At 35.9% G+C, this 18,572-nt stretch overlaps 1 protein-coding gene across 1 annotated transcript; it reads right to left on the minus strand.

The window, feature by feature from the left end:
- Positions 1-5,700: 5,700 nt before the first annotated feature.
- Positions 5,701-7,568, minus strand: GK2 (glycerol kinase 2). Its single transcript, NM_033214.3, has one exon. It carries the CDS (start codon positions 7,538-7,540, stop codon positions 5,879-5,881), a length of 1,662 nt encoding a protein of 553 aa, NP_149991.2. The 5' UTR covers positions 7,541-7,568; the 3' UTR covers positions 5,701-5,878.
- Between the last annotated feature and the right edge of the window lie 11,004 nt (positions 7,569-18,572).

Here is an 18,572-nt window from a genome sequence, read left to right on the forward strand (position 1 = left end):
GCAGAGAGAGAGAGAAAGAGAGAGAGAGCGAGCGAGCAGAGAGAGAGCAGAGAGAGAGAGAGAGAGAACCTAATTAAAGATTCTTTCCCAGGTTGTCTATTCATCCCCTGCTCTGGTCACATTGCTGAGGCCCACAAAGGTGGAAGCAGGGAGGTGCAATTAAGCATATTGTCTACCTCTGTTTGGAGAAAAATCTAAACAAAATAGAGTTATCATTATTTGTAGTTACTAGAACATTTTTGTCCTGGTTTTGCTCAACTCTGTTTCAAAGCTACTGGTATAGACAGTATAGTGTTTCCTTACTATTTTTGGCATTATAAATATTTTCCAAACTTGACTTTCCTATGACACTTGAAAAACATATTCTAATAACTGAATATAAGAAAGGTTTGTTAGTTTTTGTAACGGTAAACTGAATTTCATAGGTAGTTTAATATGAGATTAACACTACAGTCTTACCACCTTCTGTTTTTTTTTCCCACCAAAGGTCAAGGCCTTCTCTTGTTTTCTTTTCTAAAATAAATCATTTTGTTGAGGGCTGATATGATAATGAAGTATAATGTATGCTAAACACATAGAGAACAAGGATCACATGCAATTTCTCCAAGCCTCGAATAAATTGAGCTGTAAAGGTTGTTGATGGAAACGATGGGGGCTATTTAAATATTAAGTTTATTAAGTTTATTCATTTTGTATTGATTGAAACAATCAGAATATAGACAGACTATAGAGCTGTCATTTCAGTGGGAGGTTAAAGTAGGTGACTTACTGAGATGGTATTGTATTTATTCTAGACTTTGCTGGAAGATTACCCTAGGGGATCTTATTAGTTCACAAGATTTAAAAAAAGGCATGAAAGCAAATTTTCCATATAGAGCAGTCATAGAGTTGGTACATAATTTCCCACCAAAATGAGGATTGTATAATGTAACATTTAGACTCACGCATTGAGAACGAGGGCTTACCATGAGTGAAACAATAGGTTCCTTGGTAGATTATGAATATTAATATCAAAATGATAATATAAGCACCAGACATCACACACAAACAGATAATAATTCAGATTCTGAGTAGGGTGGGGAGGGGGAGATGCTTATCTCTCTCAGTGCAGTGTATATGGTTTCCATTCCCAGAGCTCAGTTAGAAATGATCTAGCTGTTTAGTGCTGCTTCTACATTTATATCACATGAGGTGTTTTTAATTAGATTTAATAATACATCTGTCTTCTCTTCGGATACCTTTAACATTTCTTTCCCTTCCTCACCTTGTTTCTCTTTTCTTCTTCTCCTCTCTCTCTCTTTCTCTTCCTGTCCTCCAACTTTTTCTCTCTCTCACTATTCTTTCTTACTGTCCTCCTCCCCTCCCAGCCACAACTTAAATTTACAAAATGGCTTCTCGGAAAATAGCATCAGAATTAGGTGCTTTTCTTTCTCCTGGTTAGTGTTCCAGCTCATGCTCTCTCACTCGCACATATGCCTGACATTAAATGATGACTTGCTGTTTCATAACATGCATGCAGTGAGACCCCATCATCATAATTTCACCATGTAGTTCTGCTTAGTGGCAATATAGAGAAATTATTAATTAGATAATTTTATAATAAAATACACAGAAGCTCCTTTATAGCCTTGGGGTAAAGTATTGTAATTTACCAATATCCTATGAGTTAAGTTAAGAAAATGAGGCTTTTAAAGGCAAAGATACCTAAAAAAGATAAGCTGATAAGCACAGGAATGTGCATATGGAAGGAGTGAGAGTGAGATGCTGAGTTTGAGGACTTTTATTTCTGATTTTCTTATGACATCTTTGTTTGTAACTCTTCATAAGGTCCTTTGGAATAGGTCCCAGAAGGAGAATTATGACCGGATAGAATGAAATGAGAAATTAATTTGTTTTAAATGATTGTAGACATTATCATGTACTTCTCCAGCCTAATCACACAAATGACTTCAAATAGAGCTCACAGACCTGCTAGAGAGGAACTGGTACACCCCATGCTAGCTCACTGCAGACTCAGTGAGGATACATCAGTATGCATAATAAAGAGCAGAGATTAAGCTACTTGAATAAACTTTGGCTATATTCCTTAAGAGTTTGAAGATAATTTTCTCCTTTTAAAAATAGTTTTACTGAGGTATTATTGACTGCAAATATTTAAAGTGTTTGATTTGATTAATTTTGACATATGTATTTATCCTCCAAACCACCGCAATAATTACTATAATAAATATATTATTCACCCCCCAAATTTTCTTCGTGCCCCTTTAAAATCATGCCTCCTAAGCCTTCCTGCCAGTTTCTCATCACCCCTCTCCCAGCTCCCAGGCAGCTACTGATCTGCTTTCTGACACTGTACAATACTTTGAATTTTCTAGAATCTTCTAAGGACAGGATCATACTATACTCTTTTCGTCTGGCTTATTTCCTTTAATTATTTTGAAATTCAACTATGTTATAGTGTTTATCAATAGTTCATTTCTTTTTGTTACTAAATAGTATCCCATTGTGTGGATATATCATAGTTTGTTTATCTTTCTACCCGTTGGTGGCCATTTGAGTTGTAAACAACTTTTGGCCATAATAAGTCCTGTGAACAAGTCTTTGTATGGACATATGTTCTCATTTCTCTTGGGTAAATACCTAGGATCATATGTATATTTAATTTTTGAAGAAATTCTCAAACTGTTTTCCAAAGTGCTTACACTATTTTATATTTTCACAAGAAACATGAAAGGCAAGTTCTTCTACATCTTTACTAGCATTTGGTAGAGGCACTCTTTTTTTGTTTGTTTTGTTTTTTAGGTATTCTGGTTACTGTGTAGTTTCTATCTCATGTAGTTTTTCTTTTTTAGTTTGTTAATCTGGTGAAGTACATTGAGTCTTCTAATTATGCTGACTCATTATCCTATTGTTACATTCCCTCACTTGGTCATGATGTATTATTCTTTTCAAATATTGATAAACTAATTTGCTAAAATTTTGTTCAGAATTTTTGCATCCATGTTTATGACAGATATTGGTCCACAGTTGTTTTTTCTTGTAACATCTTCTTTTCCTGGTGTTGGAACCAGGATAATGCGATAAACCTGGCCTCATGGAATGAGTTTGAGAACATTCCCTTCTTTACAGTCTTCTGGAAAAATTTGTGTAGGATAGGCATTATTTCTTCCTTATAAGTGTGAAAGAAGCCACTTGAGCTTGAGGTTTTCTTTGTAAGGGGGGTTTTAAGCTAGAAATTCAATATTTTTAAGAGATATAGAGCCATTCTGGTTATCTATATTTTCCTGAGTTTAAGAAGTTTGTGTTTTCCAATGAATTTGTTCATCTTATCCAAGTCATCAAATTTACTGGCATAAGGTTTTCATAATATTTCTATATTCTCATTTTACTATCCTTAATATCCTACAGGACCTGTAGTAGTAATGTCAATCTCATTCCTGATATGGATAATTTTTGTCTTCTCTCCTTTTTTTCTAGTAACGGAGGCTAAAAGTTTATCATATTCACACTCTGAAAGAACAAACTTTTGGTTATATCAATTTTGCCATTTTGTCATTGTTTTCTATTTTCTATATCTGTTTTGTATCTTCTTTAGAATTAATTGATTACTACTGCTCTCATCTTTACTATTTCTTTACTTCTTCTATTTAGCTTGGGCTTAATTTATTACTCCATTTCTCGTTTCTTAAGGTAGAAGCAGAGGTTAGTGATTTAAGACCTTTTCTCCCTTCTAATACAGGCATTTAGTTCTATAAAATTCTTCTAAAGTACTGCTTTAACAATCTCTCATAAATTTTAATATGTTGTGCTTTCATTTTCACTCAATTCCAGATACTTTCTATTTTCCCTCTTTATCTCTTTAACTTATCAATTATTTTAAAGTTTGTTACTTAGTTTTCAAATGTTTGGGGACTTTTCTAAAGATTTTTCTAGTGTCGATGTATAATTCTAATGTGCTCAGACACCATACTTTGTAAGAAATCTTTTTTAATTTTTTGAGGCTTGCTTTTTGGCCTCTATATGGTCAATCTTGGTAAATATTCACTGTGCACTTGAAAAGAATATGTATTCTCCTATTGTTGGGTGGCATTTTCCATAAATGTCAGTTAAGTCATGTTGTTTGATAGTGTTGTTAAAATCCATATCTTAGTAAACTTAACTACTTTTTCTATCAAATATTGAGGAAGAGGTATTGAAATATCTTCCTGTTATTGCACAACTTTTTATTTTTCCTTTCAGTTCTATAAGATTTTATGTATTTTGAAGCTCCATCATGAGGTGCATAAATATTTAGAATTGTTATGTCCTCTTGAATTTACCCCATTATCATTGCAAATGATCTTATCACTTTTAATATTCTTTGTTTTGAAATTTACTTTCTGATATTTCTTTTTTATTATTATTAACTTGGTATATCCATTTTCTATCATTTTACTTTTGACCTTTTTTTCTTATGTGTAAAGTATGTTTCTTGGAGGCAGTGTATATTTTGGTTTTATTTTTTAAATCTGACAAGTTTCCTTTTTAATTGGGGTAATCAAATCATTTACATTTAATGTGCTTGTTGGTATGGTTAGGGTTAAATATATTTTCCTACCTTTTCTTTGTTCCTCATCTGTTTTGTATCTTCTTTAGAATTGAATATTTTAGTAGTTCTAGTGCATATTTTTAATATAACATTTTGTTATTTCAGGATTTATAGTATATATCTTTCATTATCACTATAACTTCAAGTGATACATCATTTTCCACACAGTATATGAGTCTCAAACTACTACACCTTCATTTATCCTCTTCTTTGCTATTGTTTTCTTTTAGACATGCTTGCATTTCATACTATATTATTATTTTTGTTTGAACAGTCATTTGTTTTTTCCTACTTGAAAGCAATATTTTCTGAAATATTCCAGTGTTTTTTCCCAGCATATATCCAGCTAATATATTAAATAAAAGAGTAAGTTATAAGAAATTTGGTGCAATCATAATATACTTTTTGTAGCAGCATAAAACATATTTAACTTTTAAATACTGCCTTTGTAGGTTTCTCCTGATAAATAATATGTATACACATTCCCCAAAATGTATATAGCTGTTTACCTTAAAGTATTTAGGACCATCCATGTTATAATCTACTGACTACAATGTACTTTCAACTTATAAATGAGCTACTCTATATGATATAGACATGATATAAAAAAGGGAAATAGTGTCCCTGTCCCTCTAGGATTCACACAATAATTCAGTAAAATAGTAATTAATGAGACCATGTAAATTGTCTAATAAATTTCAATTTGGCAAATATTTTTCAGGAAAATATCTAAGCTATGAGAATACTAAATTTCTATTGTAAGAATTTAGCAAATATTTCCATTAAACATTCAGTTAAGATGTAGTCTCTCTAATATGTAGAAAGGAGGACTTGTAGCCTATTAAAAACAAGAATAACAATGACAAAAAGTCCCTTAATTTTAGCAGATTAATTACACCTCTTAATCAAGTGTGTGTAACACAAAGAACCAAATCTGGGTCCATAAGTGTTAGAGGATAGTTGATAAAAAGATTCCATGAATAGAATCTGAATAGCCTATGTTTTAGAAAGAATGGGGCAGAATGTTATGGCAATGGAGGGGGCCAGCCTTCAAGATGGCTGGCCCAACCCTGTCGATGTTAAAAAAAACACACCCAATATTTCTACAGTGCTCTTCTAACGTATTTTCTTTATTTCAGGTCACAAGTCTAGGGTTTTCATGGGTCATGTAGCAAGTGGTTTATAAACAAAATCAGAGTCTATAATAGTGTCATTATATTAAGAGGCAGAACTGCTATATGCTTTCATTATGTAAAATGTTTACATCTTGGGACTCCATAGCTGGTATTATTATGGCACACCCGAGATATATCTTGCTCCAATTAGCATTACCATGCTACTCACTATAAAAAATCCCAAAGGCAGACTAGAGAAGATAGAAGGATCACCACCTTCAGGAGACTGACTGGTAACCCAACCCATTGACTTCATTACGGCTTTCTTCCATGTGGCATAACGAATTTCACTTTCTGTGGCCTGGATCTGTGGTTCAAATCGTTCCATCCTGAGAACTGACAAAGCCTGGGGTTCAAGGCTCCAAACGCTTACTCCCTCTGCAGCCCCTGCTGCCATGGCAGCTCCTAGTGCAGTTGTTTCAGGCATAAAGGGTTTTATTACTGGAATATGAAGAATATCTGCTTGTAGCTGCATAAGAACTTTGTTGTTGGTCATTCCTCCATCTACCTGCAAATGACGAAGTGGAATTCCACAGTCACGGTTCATGGCTTCCAAAATCTCTCGGGTTTGGAAACAAACAGCTTCTAATGCAGCAAAAGCAATATGACATTTATTGGTAAACTGAGTGAGGCCACAGAGTATCCCTCTTGCACTGGGCTCCCAATAAGGTGCATATAACCCTGAAAAGGCTGGGACAAAGTAACAGCCATAAGAAGTTCCTACTTCTTTAGCAAGTCTTTCAATGTCTCCTGAGGTCTCTATAATTCCAAGATTGTCTCTTAGCCAACGAATAACAGCACCTGCTATAGCAACAGAACCTTCCAGTGCATAATATGCTGGCTTCTCTCTGCCTAGTTTGTAAGCTACTGTGGTCAAAAGGCCATGTTCAGAAAACACACATTTACGACCCGTATTACACAGTAAGAAGCAACCTGTTCCATAGGTGTTTTTGGCTTGTCCCTCCTGGAAGCACATTTGTCCTACTAATGCAGCACATTGGTCCCCCAAACACCCAGATATTGGCACACCTTCCAGGGCTCCAGTTTTAATTAGGCCATAGATCTCAGAAGAACTGAAGACATTTGGAAGAAGGTCCATTGGAATTTCAAAAAAGTCACAGAGCTCTTTATCCCATTCCAAAGAATGGATATTAAAAAGCATTGTCCTACTTGCATTTGTTACATCTGTACAATGCACGCCTCCATTAACTCCTCCTGTCAAACTCCAGATAAGCCATGAATCAATGGTACCAAAAAGAGCTCTACCTTCTTCAACAGCCTTTTGGACGTTTCTCACATTGTCAAGCATCCAACGAAGTTTTACTGCACTGAAGTAAGTGCTGAGTGGAAGGCCTGTCTTAGACTTGACGAAGTTACTATTTCCTGGAATTTTTTTACTAAGATCCTCAACAGTAGTCTGGGTTCTTAGATCAAGCCACACCACAGCATTGTAGAGAGGCTCTCCTGTTAACTTGTCCCAGATTACAGTGGTTTCCCTCTGATTGCTGACACCAACAGCTTTTATGTTGGATATATCAATATTCAGTTCGTCAAGTTTCTCACACGTTCTCGCTATACACTCGTAGACAGACTGAAGAATTTCTTTAGGGTCTTGTTCCACCCATCCTTCTTTTGGGAACTCTTGTGTTAATTCCACTTTGTGATGACTAAGTAGTTCCGCTGTTTTTGAATTGAAAACCAGAAAGCGAGTGGAGTTGGTGCCCTGGACCACCGCTCCCACCAACGGCCCCACAGCTGCTGTCTTTGGGGCTGCCATGACACCAGTAGGTCGGCTCAGCAGCTCTGGGACCGTTTCCCAGGCCACGGCGGTGTTGGGGGCAGGGAGCGCAGCCAGTCAGGAGCACAAGGCGCAGGCGCAAGGCAACCTTTGCCCTTTAACTGGCGCGGCGCCTTCTCACCCCACCCCTCCAGCCCAGGCTTCACCTCCAGCCACTCAGTTGTCTTCTAAGATTTAATTTTTTTTTTTAAATCATATATTTATCCATGTAATTACAGTTACCGGCGTTCACTCTTTTGTGTGGATCTATATCTCTACGTTATCATTTTCCTTCTTAATAGTGCAGGTCTGCTGGAGATGAATTCTTCCAAATTTGAACATCTGAAATATATTTCATAGTAATATTCAAAGGTATTTTCTCGGGGTATAGAATTCTATTTGACATATTTTTTCTTTTTAAGTTTCAGGACCTTGGAGCTGTTGCTCTACCATCGTCTCTCTTGCTGTTTCAGGTGGAACTTTGCTATTATTTTTAACATGTCTATTTTTCTCTATCTTTAGGGTTTTGCTCTTTATCAGTGGTTTTGCCCAGTTTTATCATGAAGTGTCTTGGAATAGTTTTCTTATTTTCTTTGCTTGGGGTTTACTGAGCTACTTGAATCTGTAGGTTTACAGGTTTCATCGACTTTGAAAAGCTTTGGGCCCATTATTTCTTCAAATGTGTTTTATTCTGTCTCTTCTATCCCTTAGGGACTCCATTGATGCCCTACTCATTATAATTACCTTTTCTCCTTGTCCTTGATTTCAGATAGTTTCTGTTGCTCTCTCTTCAAGTTCACTAATCTTTTCTTCTCCAATGTCTGCTCTGCTATTAATTCATCCAGTACATTTTTCACCTCACATATTGTAGTGTTCATCCCTAGAAGCTCAATTTGGGTTTTTTAATATCTACTTAACTTTCTGAACACATGGAATACAGTTAGAATAACTTTTAATTTCATTTTCTGCAATTCTAACCTCTGTGTCAGTTCTGGTTCGGTTTTGATTGATTGCTTATCTCCTCATTATGGCTTGTATTTCCTGTTTCTTTGCATGCCTGATAAGTTTTAATTAGATGCCAAACATTGTGACTTTTACCTGACTGGGTGCTTGATATTTTTGTATCCCTATAAATGGTCTTGAGTTTTGTTTTGGGATGCAGATAAATTACTTGGAAACAGTTCAATTCTTTTGCGTCTGCTTTTAAGATTTCTTAGATGGCACAAGGATAGTACTCAGTCTGGGGCTAATTCTTCCTCTTTACTGTGAAGAGATCTTTCTATGTACTCTACCCAACACCCCTGACAAATGAGGCTGTTTGGAACAGTAATTCCTCCCAGCCCTGAGTGACCACTGGATACTGTTATCTCTAGTCTTTCCAGGTGCATCTTTCGTTAGCCTCAGTAGTTTTCTCCTATACATGCACTGATCAATACCCAACTGAATACTCACTGGGGGACCCTCTAAAGCTCTCTGGAGTTCTCTCTCTATGCAACTCTTTTTTCTCCAGTGCTATGCCTGGCAGAGTCTAGCTTCTTTGGTTTCTCTAGGCTCTCAGCCTAATCTCCTTGCCATAGGTTTCCACTGAGTTTCAATTGGGTTCCCTGTCTGTGCTGTTGCTTCAAAACTCTCTCAAGAAACTAAGCTGGGGAAATCATAGTAGTCATGTCACTTGTTTTTAATCTCTTAGAAATTACTGCCTTTCATTCCGTGATATCCAGCATTTTGTGAACTGTTGTTTTATATTTTGCACATTATGTGAACTATTTCATCTATTTTTTCCATTTTTGATTGTTTTAGATGAAAAGGTAACTCCAATCCTTTTTACTACATCTTGGCCAGAGTGGAATTCCACTAAATGGAAACTTAAATTTTCAGATTAACTATAGAGTCGGTGAATAAAGACTTATTTAATCATTAATTAAAATATATTGAATATGCAGTCAATGAATGGCAATTTTTTGTATTAGGGCATAGGCTACATTTCTGAATTAGCTCAAGGATAAGGCCCATTTGTGTTTAGTAAAACCAAATAGAACAAGATAGAAAATAACATAAAAATTAACTGTGATATTGTTATTTCACTATTTTATCTGGGTCGTATTTTTTATTTAAGCAAAAACCCTTCAGGAAATACTATGAAGTCTGAGAAAGAAAGAACATTGAGACTTAATTTGCGAAGTAAGGTATAGAAATTATTAAAAACTGGATCAGATTTTCCTGGTTGTGTCTTTGTTTCTAAAATTCTATCAAAGCTTTTCCAAGCAAAATTGTAGAGGCAACATTTACCCGTATTCCAGTTAACCATAACATGTCTGCATTTTCATGGAACAAATTTATATTTACATTGTTTTAACTTTTTTCTCTCCAGGTATTTGGCAAGAGTAAACATTGTGTGTATAGATTAATGTACGCAATAAAAAGATTTGACCCAGAGCTTCTTTTCTACATTCCCTCTCTCCGTTCACACCAATATTTACAAACAAATGTTCCTAATTCCATTAGGTTTTGAGTCTGGGAATACTTTAAGTATTTTGTCTTTAATACAAATACCTTATTTATAAAATCGTCAGTTCTGCTTATAAAGAACTGGCTTACATAGTAGTTTCACTGATAATAAATTGTAGCCACTAAATAATCAGATAATAAGTGTCCCAATATAGTTTAGAAAGTTTACCAAATTGCAATAACTTCCTTAGAGTAATTGCAAACTACTGATGGGTTTAACCAAAGCTGATAAACAGTATTTAAAACAAGCAAACGAAAACTAAGGAGCTTAAATGAAGTCCACTATCTTCTTTATTTCAAAAACAAAACAAAACAAAACCAACTAAAATTTTTGTTGTCTATAATAGCTTCTTTATATTCTAATGTAGGATTTAAGCACTTCTGAAATCTTTGTTGGCACTACCTTATTTGTGAAGGCATTCAATTTTACAAGAAAATTGTTATTTCATTTGTATTATATTCCACAAAATCATAAATGCTTTAATGGTGAACATACTATTCAGAATAGTTCAAACAACAAAAATATATGAGGGGATTTTCTTCAAAAAGTCTTTTATTATGGGATTGTTAAAAATAGAGTTGTTAACATACTTGACTTTGTATATTATTCATTTACCTTTAAGGCTACTCTTCTAAAGTGCAGCTACTTAGTATTGAAGGTTTTAAGTAGTGTTCACATTGTAACATTTAAAATTTACTCATTCAATCAGTAACATGGTGAATATGTTTTGAGAGGTTGCTATCTATGGATTTCATTATAAGCCATGATATAGTGGTGCATCAAACATTCTTACTGCCCTTATTATAACCTTTAAGTTAAGAACAGTACCAGCTTAACGTACTTATCTTAATGACATATTTTCCTGTGCATGTTTTAGAGAGCCACTTGTTTAATTATTTTTTTCCTGTTAAGCACACTAAATTGTAAGTTCAATGAAGTCAGGGACCTTGGTTATTTAATTCAATCCTGTATTTTCAGCACTTATACTCAAAGCAGGAATTCAAGTGGTATTTGTTGGATGGATTAATGAACACCACTAAATATGGCCCTCACTTTATTAAGCAATCATCGTAAAGTCAAGATAAATTTAATTTTGCTTGCCGGATAGGCTATTGGTTATTCATTTTTCTTTTTCTTTTTTTCTTTCTTTCTTTCTTTTCTTTTTTTTTTTTTGAGACAGAGTCTAGCTCTGTCGCCCAGGCTGGAGTGCAGTGGCACGATCTCAGCTCACTGTAACTTCCGCCTCCAGAGTTCAAGCAGTTCTCCTGCCTTAGCCTCTGGAGTAGCTGGGATTACAGGGGCCTGCCACCACGCCTGGCTAAATTTTGTATTTTAAGTAGAGATGGGGTTTCACCATGTTGGCCGGGCTGGTTTTGAACTCCTGACCTTAAGTGATCTGCCCACCTCAGCTTCCCAAAGAGCTGGGATTATAGGCATTAGCCACCGCACCAGGCCTCATTTTCAATCTGATATAATAAGATGGATTGATGAAGAGACAGAGGATTGTATAGATAGAAAGATATGATAAAAGTAGTATAATAAAATGATAATTATATAATCTGTGTGGTAGATACGATGTTGATGAAAGTTTTTTCAACTTTCTATATGTTTTCAAATTTTCATAATAAAATGTTAGGAAAGTGTGATGTAAATACAAGCTGATCAAGCTGCAAAACAGTGCAAAGAGACCTATTTCATACAGGCTCTTTTGTTTGGAGGGACAGTTGAGTGAATGGAATAAAAAAGTCGCTGTTACGTTTACATCAATTTGAGAGACTCTGTGGCAGAATAATCTAGTTGTAGTTGTTCATCCCAAGAAAACCATTAATTATGAATGATTAAGATAGTTGTACTTTCATTATAAGCATTTTCTTCTGCTTTTTATAAACTTTTTAAATTCTAGGAAACCAGCTGCCTGTTTAATGCCTTGGCTCTTAGAAAGAAATTGCAGACATCTAAGAATGCTGCCACTCTTTTCAATCTCGAGAGTGGGAATCAGTGGAAAGTTTAGATTTCACCAAATTTGGACTTATCTTAGTCATGAATTTGAGAGTGTGCAACCTGATGGTAAGAGCATTCATTTATATAGTTTGTGGCTAGCAAATTTGACTTTTTTAGACCATGTCATAACCAATGCATCATCACAGTTGGTAATCTTCAAAACACTGATGCATTTTTCTACATGCTGTTCCCAAATGTGCTGGACCAGCTGTTGAGAGCCATACCATCCAATCGCCTGGAAGACCTCTTCTTGGACCACAAATCACCTAACGTACTATCCCTCTTTGTTCTAATGAAGAAAGGAAAAATTAAAGCAAGCTACCGTGGTTTATTACTCATGTTTTCTCTGTTATGCATGGGCCGTGGGAGCCACCGCATTCACATTAGGAGCCCTTGGCATTTTAGGTAAGCATTACATGACAGACAAGCCAATGAGTTTAATATTCACGGATCTGGAAGTGATTTTATGAATATTTGAATCTTGAAATGTTTGATTGATTGTGTGTGTGTGTGTGTGTGTGTGTGTTCTTTGTCATTTTCTCAGTGAAAATTGCCCTGACACTGATCTCAATGTTAATGTATTCCTGCTTACATTTGACTTTGGAATATGTTACAGCTAATTATCATTACACTGGATGAAAGATCAGAGCCCTGAGTGAGGTGCTTGGGTTTAGGAACAAAGGGAGACCAAATCAGCATCTTGGCTCTAGGCCCAATAATTGTAATCAAACATCTTGAAACTGATGGGATCTTTGCATTTATTTTTTATTTGTTATTTTTTTGTTTTCTTTCCTCACTTTTTGAAAGGAGGTGGGAAAAGGGGGCTAAGGGTTTGAAGGGGCTGAAATTTCCCCTTGAACATGATGTCAATATGTTGGCGTGTCTCCTTTTATTAAGACGCCATCCAACTGATAACAAGTCCTGCTGTGTTTTACCAACATAAAAAATTAGACTGGAGACCGAGGAGCGGCAGGTGGCTTTTGGCACCAAGAAATAATCACACTTGATGTGGAAAGTAAAGTAAAAGGAGCCATCTGTTCACTGCAGGAGGACGTGAAAAATCACATTAACATATTGTCACTAACATCATGAAATACACAGTTAATAATAAATTTAGTTATCATGGCAAGTTGCATTGGATACTTACTCTGAAAATGCAGAATGTGAAAGATGCTCATTCTTGCCCACCCCTATCTTTTTTTTTTTTTTTTGAGAGAGAGAGGAAAAAAAAAAGCTTTAAACCTTTCCTTGGAATGTGTGTATGTGTGTGTGTATGTTGGAGATGGGGAGGGGAATGTGTATCATTTTCAAGGCAGACTATGGTTCATTGTTGCTGACTAAGTGAGCAAAATAGCCACTCCGGCAGATGGAAGGTGTCATTTCTTGATTCCATCCACTTATTATCTACCGTGTAACTCTACAGCTTCTTACCTGGATGGAAGAGAAGGGATGTAGAAGAAAAAAAGGTTGTTTTGATCATGTTCCTTGCACGAGACCCAGAGCATGCAGATGCTCTGTGAAAAGGATGGGGGACAGAGTGCTGCCACATGCAAGAATCAGTGGCTGTGGCCTTTTCTTGAGCATCGAATTTGCCTTTAGTAAAGTGTTCCAGCAGAATATTTTTCTAGTGGGTTTTCTGTGAAATGCCTGCACATACTTTGCAGAACAAGTGTGTTAAGGCAATGTGATGGAAAGGTTTCCTTGCACTTCTTGTGTGTAATGTTGTTTGCATATGTCAACAAAATGAATAAAGAAGCTACAGAGCATGGAGGTCAAACTGAATTGGGAAAATTGGGGTTATTTTCACTGGGTCATTACTAAAGCCATATTTAAACATCTTTTGCTGTCAGAGTTTGCTCTCTAGTTTCTTATAGTCATTGCTTATAATCACTGCAAATTGTGACTCAAACCCACACTATTACTATTATTAATATTAAGATCTCATTCTATTTTATAAAATTACAGTTGTCACATAATAGAATCCTAATTAATAAGTTGACCAGTAGTTATTTCCTGAATATGGCTGTTGGTCTACATCCAGTCATTATCCCATATGCTTGAGAGAAAAAATATATAGATAACAAATATCTATATGTAATCATGAAAACTATGTTAGAATAAGAATTAGAATTTTAGTTCCAGCTCTGACTCTAGCTTTATGATCTTTAGCAAGTCAAATCACCTCTCTGGCTTTTTTTTTTTTTTTTCCAATGGCAAAATTTAGGCAACCTCTAAAGAAACTCCTCTTCTCCTTAAAACTTAAAGATTTTTTAAATATATTGTCTAATGAAACTTGATATTTATTTTAAGTTAATGAAAGAAAAATTGTGTTCAAGAAGCAATCATTTCGATAGTGTTATTTAAAAATTGTTAATGACCCTGAAAGGTAATGTGCAAATTAGGGTTGCCAACTTTCATTCAGGTAATGACGAGACAGGTTGTGATGGCATTTTGAGAGAGACCTGCTGTTTTGGGAGCAGGATGGTGGTAGGCTTTTCTTCTATTGTGTATGTAATATTCTGTCACTAAAGGTGAATGTTACCATGAAGTCCAGATCTAGGTGTAGACTCTGTCACCTGAGTTACCAATGTGTCTCATTCTAGTCCTAGATAATTTGCAAAAAAGTAGTCATGGGTGGAACAGAGTCTTCTATTTTGTATTCGTTTCTAAAGAATGATAGAGTTCTGTTCTCTCAGTTAGATGATCTGGACACAATCCACTGTCTACTGATAAACAGCCACATGCTTGTTAATTTGTTCCAGTAGGCTTAAACCATATGCTGACTTACCTTTTGGACGTTCCTCCTTCTACTATATATTTTCCAAAGTATCTTCAGCTCATTGTCCTTCCTCAAATAAACCTTTCTTGAACCTTTAACTGTAGTTAAATCACCCTGCTATAGTTCCCTGTTGAACCTTGTTCTTCTGTTTTCTTACATTTCTTACATTTGAATTAATTGTTCAGAATGTAAGCCCCATGAAGGCAGCACCCTGTCTATCTTGGTCACCCATTATTAACATCATGCCAGGCATGTAGAACCATTTAATAGGTATTACTTATTGGTAGACAGTTGGACAGCCCAACCAACTTTCAGGGTTCGTCAGGTTTTAGGGAAAACAGAACATGTGTTTGGCATTTGCATCACCATATAGTCATCCTGAAACTCTCAGGTGATCTTCAGGTGACTGTTCCAGAGGTCACCATTCCTATTGGAAGCACAAATAAATCTAGACTCCGCTTTAGGGTTCTGATGGAACAATTAGAATTTTTAAAGGATATCCTAAAATAGACATCAAAACAGTTCAGCTAAATGCTGAATATTTTTGAATATTTACTACTTTGTTTCTGATAATTAGGCAGCACTGGAAGATAAATTTCTAGGGCAACCCTGGAAATTTTCTGAATCCACCAAAACAGTTAAATCATACATGGACAAACTATTCTTCAGTAGACTAGAGTCCATCATTTTACCAATTTTTATTCAGCTTAGGGGAAACATGTAAATTTAATTTTGCAGAGATGACAAATGGCAGAAAAATATGTTTTATAGCACAAAGCAAGATCTATATATCAATTTCTGTGTTTTCTTGCCGAAGTGTTTAGAATGAAATGAATTGGCCAGCCAGGTGTGGTGGCTCATGCCTGTAATCCCAGCACTTTAGGAGGCCGAGGTGGGGGGATCCCGAGGTCAGGAGCTCTAGACCAGCCTGGCCAACATGGTGAAACCCTGTCTCTACTAAAGATACAAAAAAAAAAAATAAAATAAAAGCTGGGCGTGGTGGTGTGTGCCTGTAACCCCAGCTACTCGGAAGGCTGAGGCAGGAGAATCGCTTGAACCAGGGAGGTGGAGGTTGCAGGAGCTGAGATTGTGCCATTGCACTCCAGCCTGGATGACAGGGTGAGACTCTTGTCTCAAAAAAAAAAAAAAAAAAAAGGCCAAATAATTAAGTATGACTTAAAATGATGAAATGAGTTACTGGTGTCCTCCCCACAGCTACTGTTGTTAGAATTGTTATATTGATAGAGCCACATACATTACATGGAAGTATACATACTGAACTCATTGTATATTTGTTATTCTAATACATATTTACCGAAAATGTTTATTAATAATGAATAATCTCAATACTAGGAGACATATGTATTGGCTTAATGCTTTATCAGCTGAAAATGTAGCAAAAAGCAGCAAACAGAAATGAAAAGTCTGTGATAATCATCTAAAAATGTAGATAAAATTAGAAAATCATCATACTTAATGATACTGAATTATGCTGTGTAGGAAGTTGCCAAATGTTTGGACTTAGGTTGAAAATATTTTGCCACGGTGCATAAAAATTACCACGGTGCATGAAAAAGACCCTTGGAGGCAGTTGTAGTAACTGACAAACATTTTAAGAATTGACAGTCCCCCTTACCCAGTAGATATGTCATTCCCTGCATGCTGGGCTTCTTTGCAGTTGTTGAAAACTAAGGCAGATGGGCACTCCAGTCAGCCTGAGGGGACAGGAGTAGCATACTTCAGGGCACCAGGTGCCCTGAGATTCCTCCTTTTCATCAGATGGGCTAATAGACCCACAGAGGCCAGGGATTCAGTGATATCCTAGAGGGTCTTGCAGGTGGTCATCACTGAAGTGACTGGTAGACTTCCTGCCGACCCCTGGTTTCACGGAGTGTTGAAAGCAGAATTCTTTCACTGTGACAGCTAGGGTTTGACATGAAATAGCATATTAGAGAAACTCTGATGGTTTTTGAAGCATGGAAAACATTCAGAGGTTGATGATGATGAAGAATCCCAATGTTTTTCTTTTCTCTTTTTGTTGGCTAGCTATAGGTATCCTTAGTAATTCCATCCGTCAGTACTCTTTGCTCTTCCTCTGAACTTCTGAGGCATGCAATGTCTCTTCATTCAGCACTCTTAATTCCTTTTTACATCTTGTATTCTTTTTTCTCTGATTACAGTGTAAGATACCTGATGGGAAGGGATTGCTTTATGCATTTTATAATCTCAGTAGTGAATGATGCACAATAATAATAATCTATATTTTTGCTTTTCTTCTTTGTTTCTTCTTTCATTCATTCAAAAAATACTGACTGAATATCAACTATTTAATAGTCGCTGGGCTAGCTTCTGGAATACAATTCCTCTAGACAGACATAGTGCTTGCCTTAGCGAGGTTCTAGTGGGTAAGTCAGACAAAAACTGAGGAAATAAAGGTAAACAAATACCAAATTGTACTACCTTTTAGAAAGGAACACATGGCTAAGATCAAGTATAACTGCAAGTGGAAAGCTGACTGTTTTACTTCTGTTTTTCTTGCTATTTTTCTTTTTTCCAGCTTTTCAACTTTTATTTTAGATTCAGGAAGTACAAGCGCAGGTTTTTTACAATGGTATATTGTATACACTGTAATACATTGTATTACAATGGTATATTTTATACAATGGTATATTGCATGATTCTGAGGTTTGGAGTACAATTGAACCCATCATTCTAGTAGTGAGTATAGTACCCAATAGGTAGTTTTTCAGCCCTTGGCCTTCTAGTTAACCTTTGCCCTCTTGTAGTCCTTAGTGTGTGTTGTTACCCTCTTTATGGCTGTATGTATGCAATGTTTAGCTCCCACTTAAAAGTGAGAACAAGTGGTATTAGATTTTCTGTTTCCACATGAATTTGCTTATGATAATAGCCTCTAGCTGCATCCATACTGCTGCAAAGGACGTGATTTTGTTCCTTTTTATGGCTGCATAGTATTTCATGGTGTATATGTACCACATTTTCTGTATACAATCCACCTTTGATAGGCATCTGGGTTGATTCCATATCTTTGCTATTGTGAATAGTGCTGTCTTGAACATATGGGTGCATGTGTCTTTTTGGTAGAATGATTTATTTTCTTTTGGATATATACCCAATAATGGGGATGCTGGGTGAAATGATTGTTCTATTTTTAATTCTTTCAGAAATCTCCAAACTACTCTCCATGTGGCTGAACTAATTTACATTCCCACCAGCAGTGTATATGTGTTCCCTTTTCTCCGCAGCATCTCCAACATCGTTATTTTTTGACTTTTTAGTAATACCCACTCTAACTGGTAAGAGATGGTGTCTCATTGTAGTTTTGATTTGCATTTCCCTAATAATTAGTGACGTTGAACTTTTTTTCATGTGCATGTTGGCTGCATGTATGTTTTATTTTGAGAAGTGTCTGTTCATGTCCTTTGTCCACTTTGTAAGGGGTTGTGTGTTTTTTGCCTATGTTCCTTGTAGATTCTTGACATTAGACCTTTGTTGGATACAAAGTTTGCAAAATTTTCCCCCATTCTTTAGGTTGTCTATTTATTCTTTTGATAGTTTCTTTTGCTGTGCAGAAGCTATTTAGTTAAATTGTTAGTAGATATCATTTCTCAATTTTTGTTTTTGTTGCAATTGCTTTTGAGGACGTAATTATAAATTATTTGCCAAGGCTGATGCTGAGAAAGGTGTTTCCTAGATTTCCTCCATGATTTTAACAGTTTGAGGTC

This window comes from Homo sapiens, chromosome 4 (genome assembly GCF_000001405.40).
Source record: "Homo sapiens chromosome 4, GRCh38.p14 Primary Assembly".
Lineage (NCBI taxonomy): Eukaryota > Metazoa > Chordata > Mammalia > Primates > Hominidae > Homo > Homo sapiens.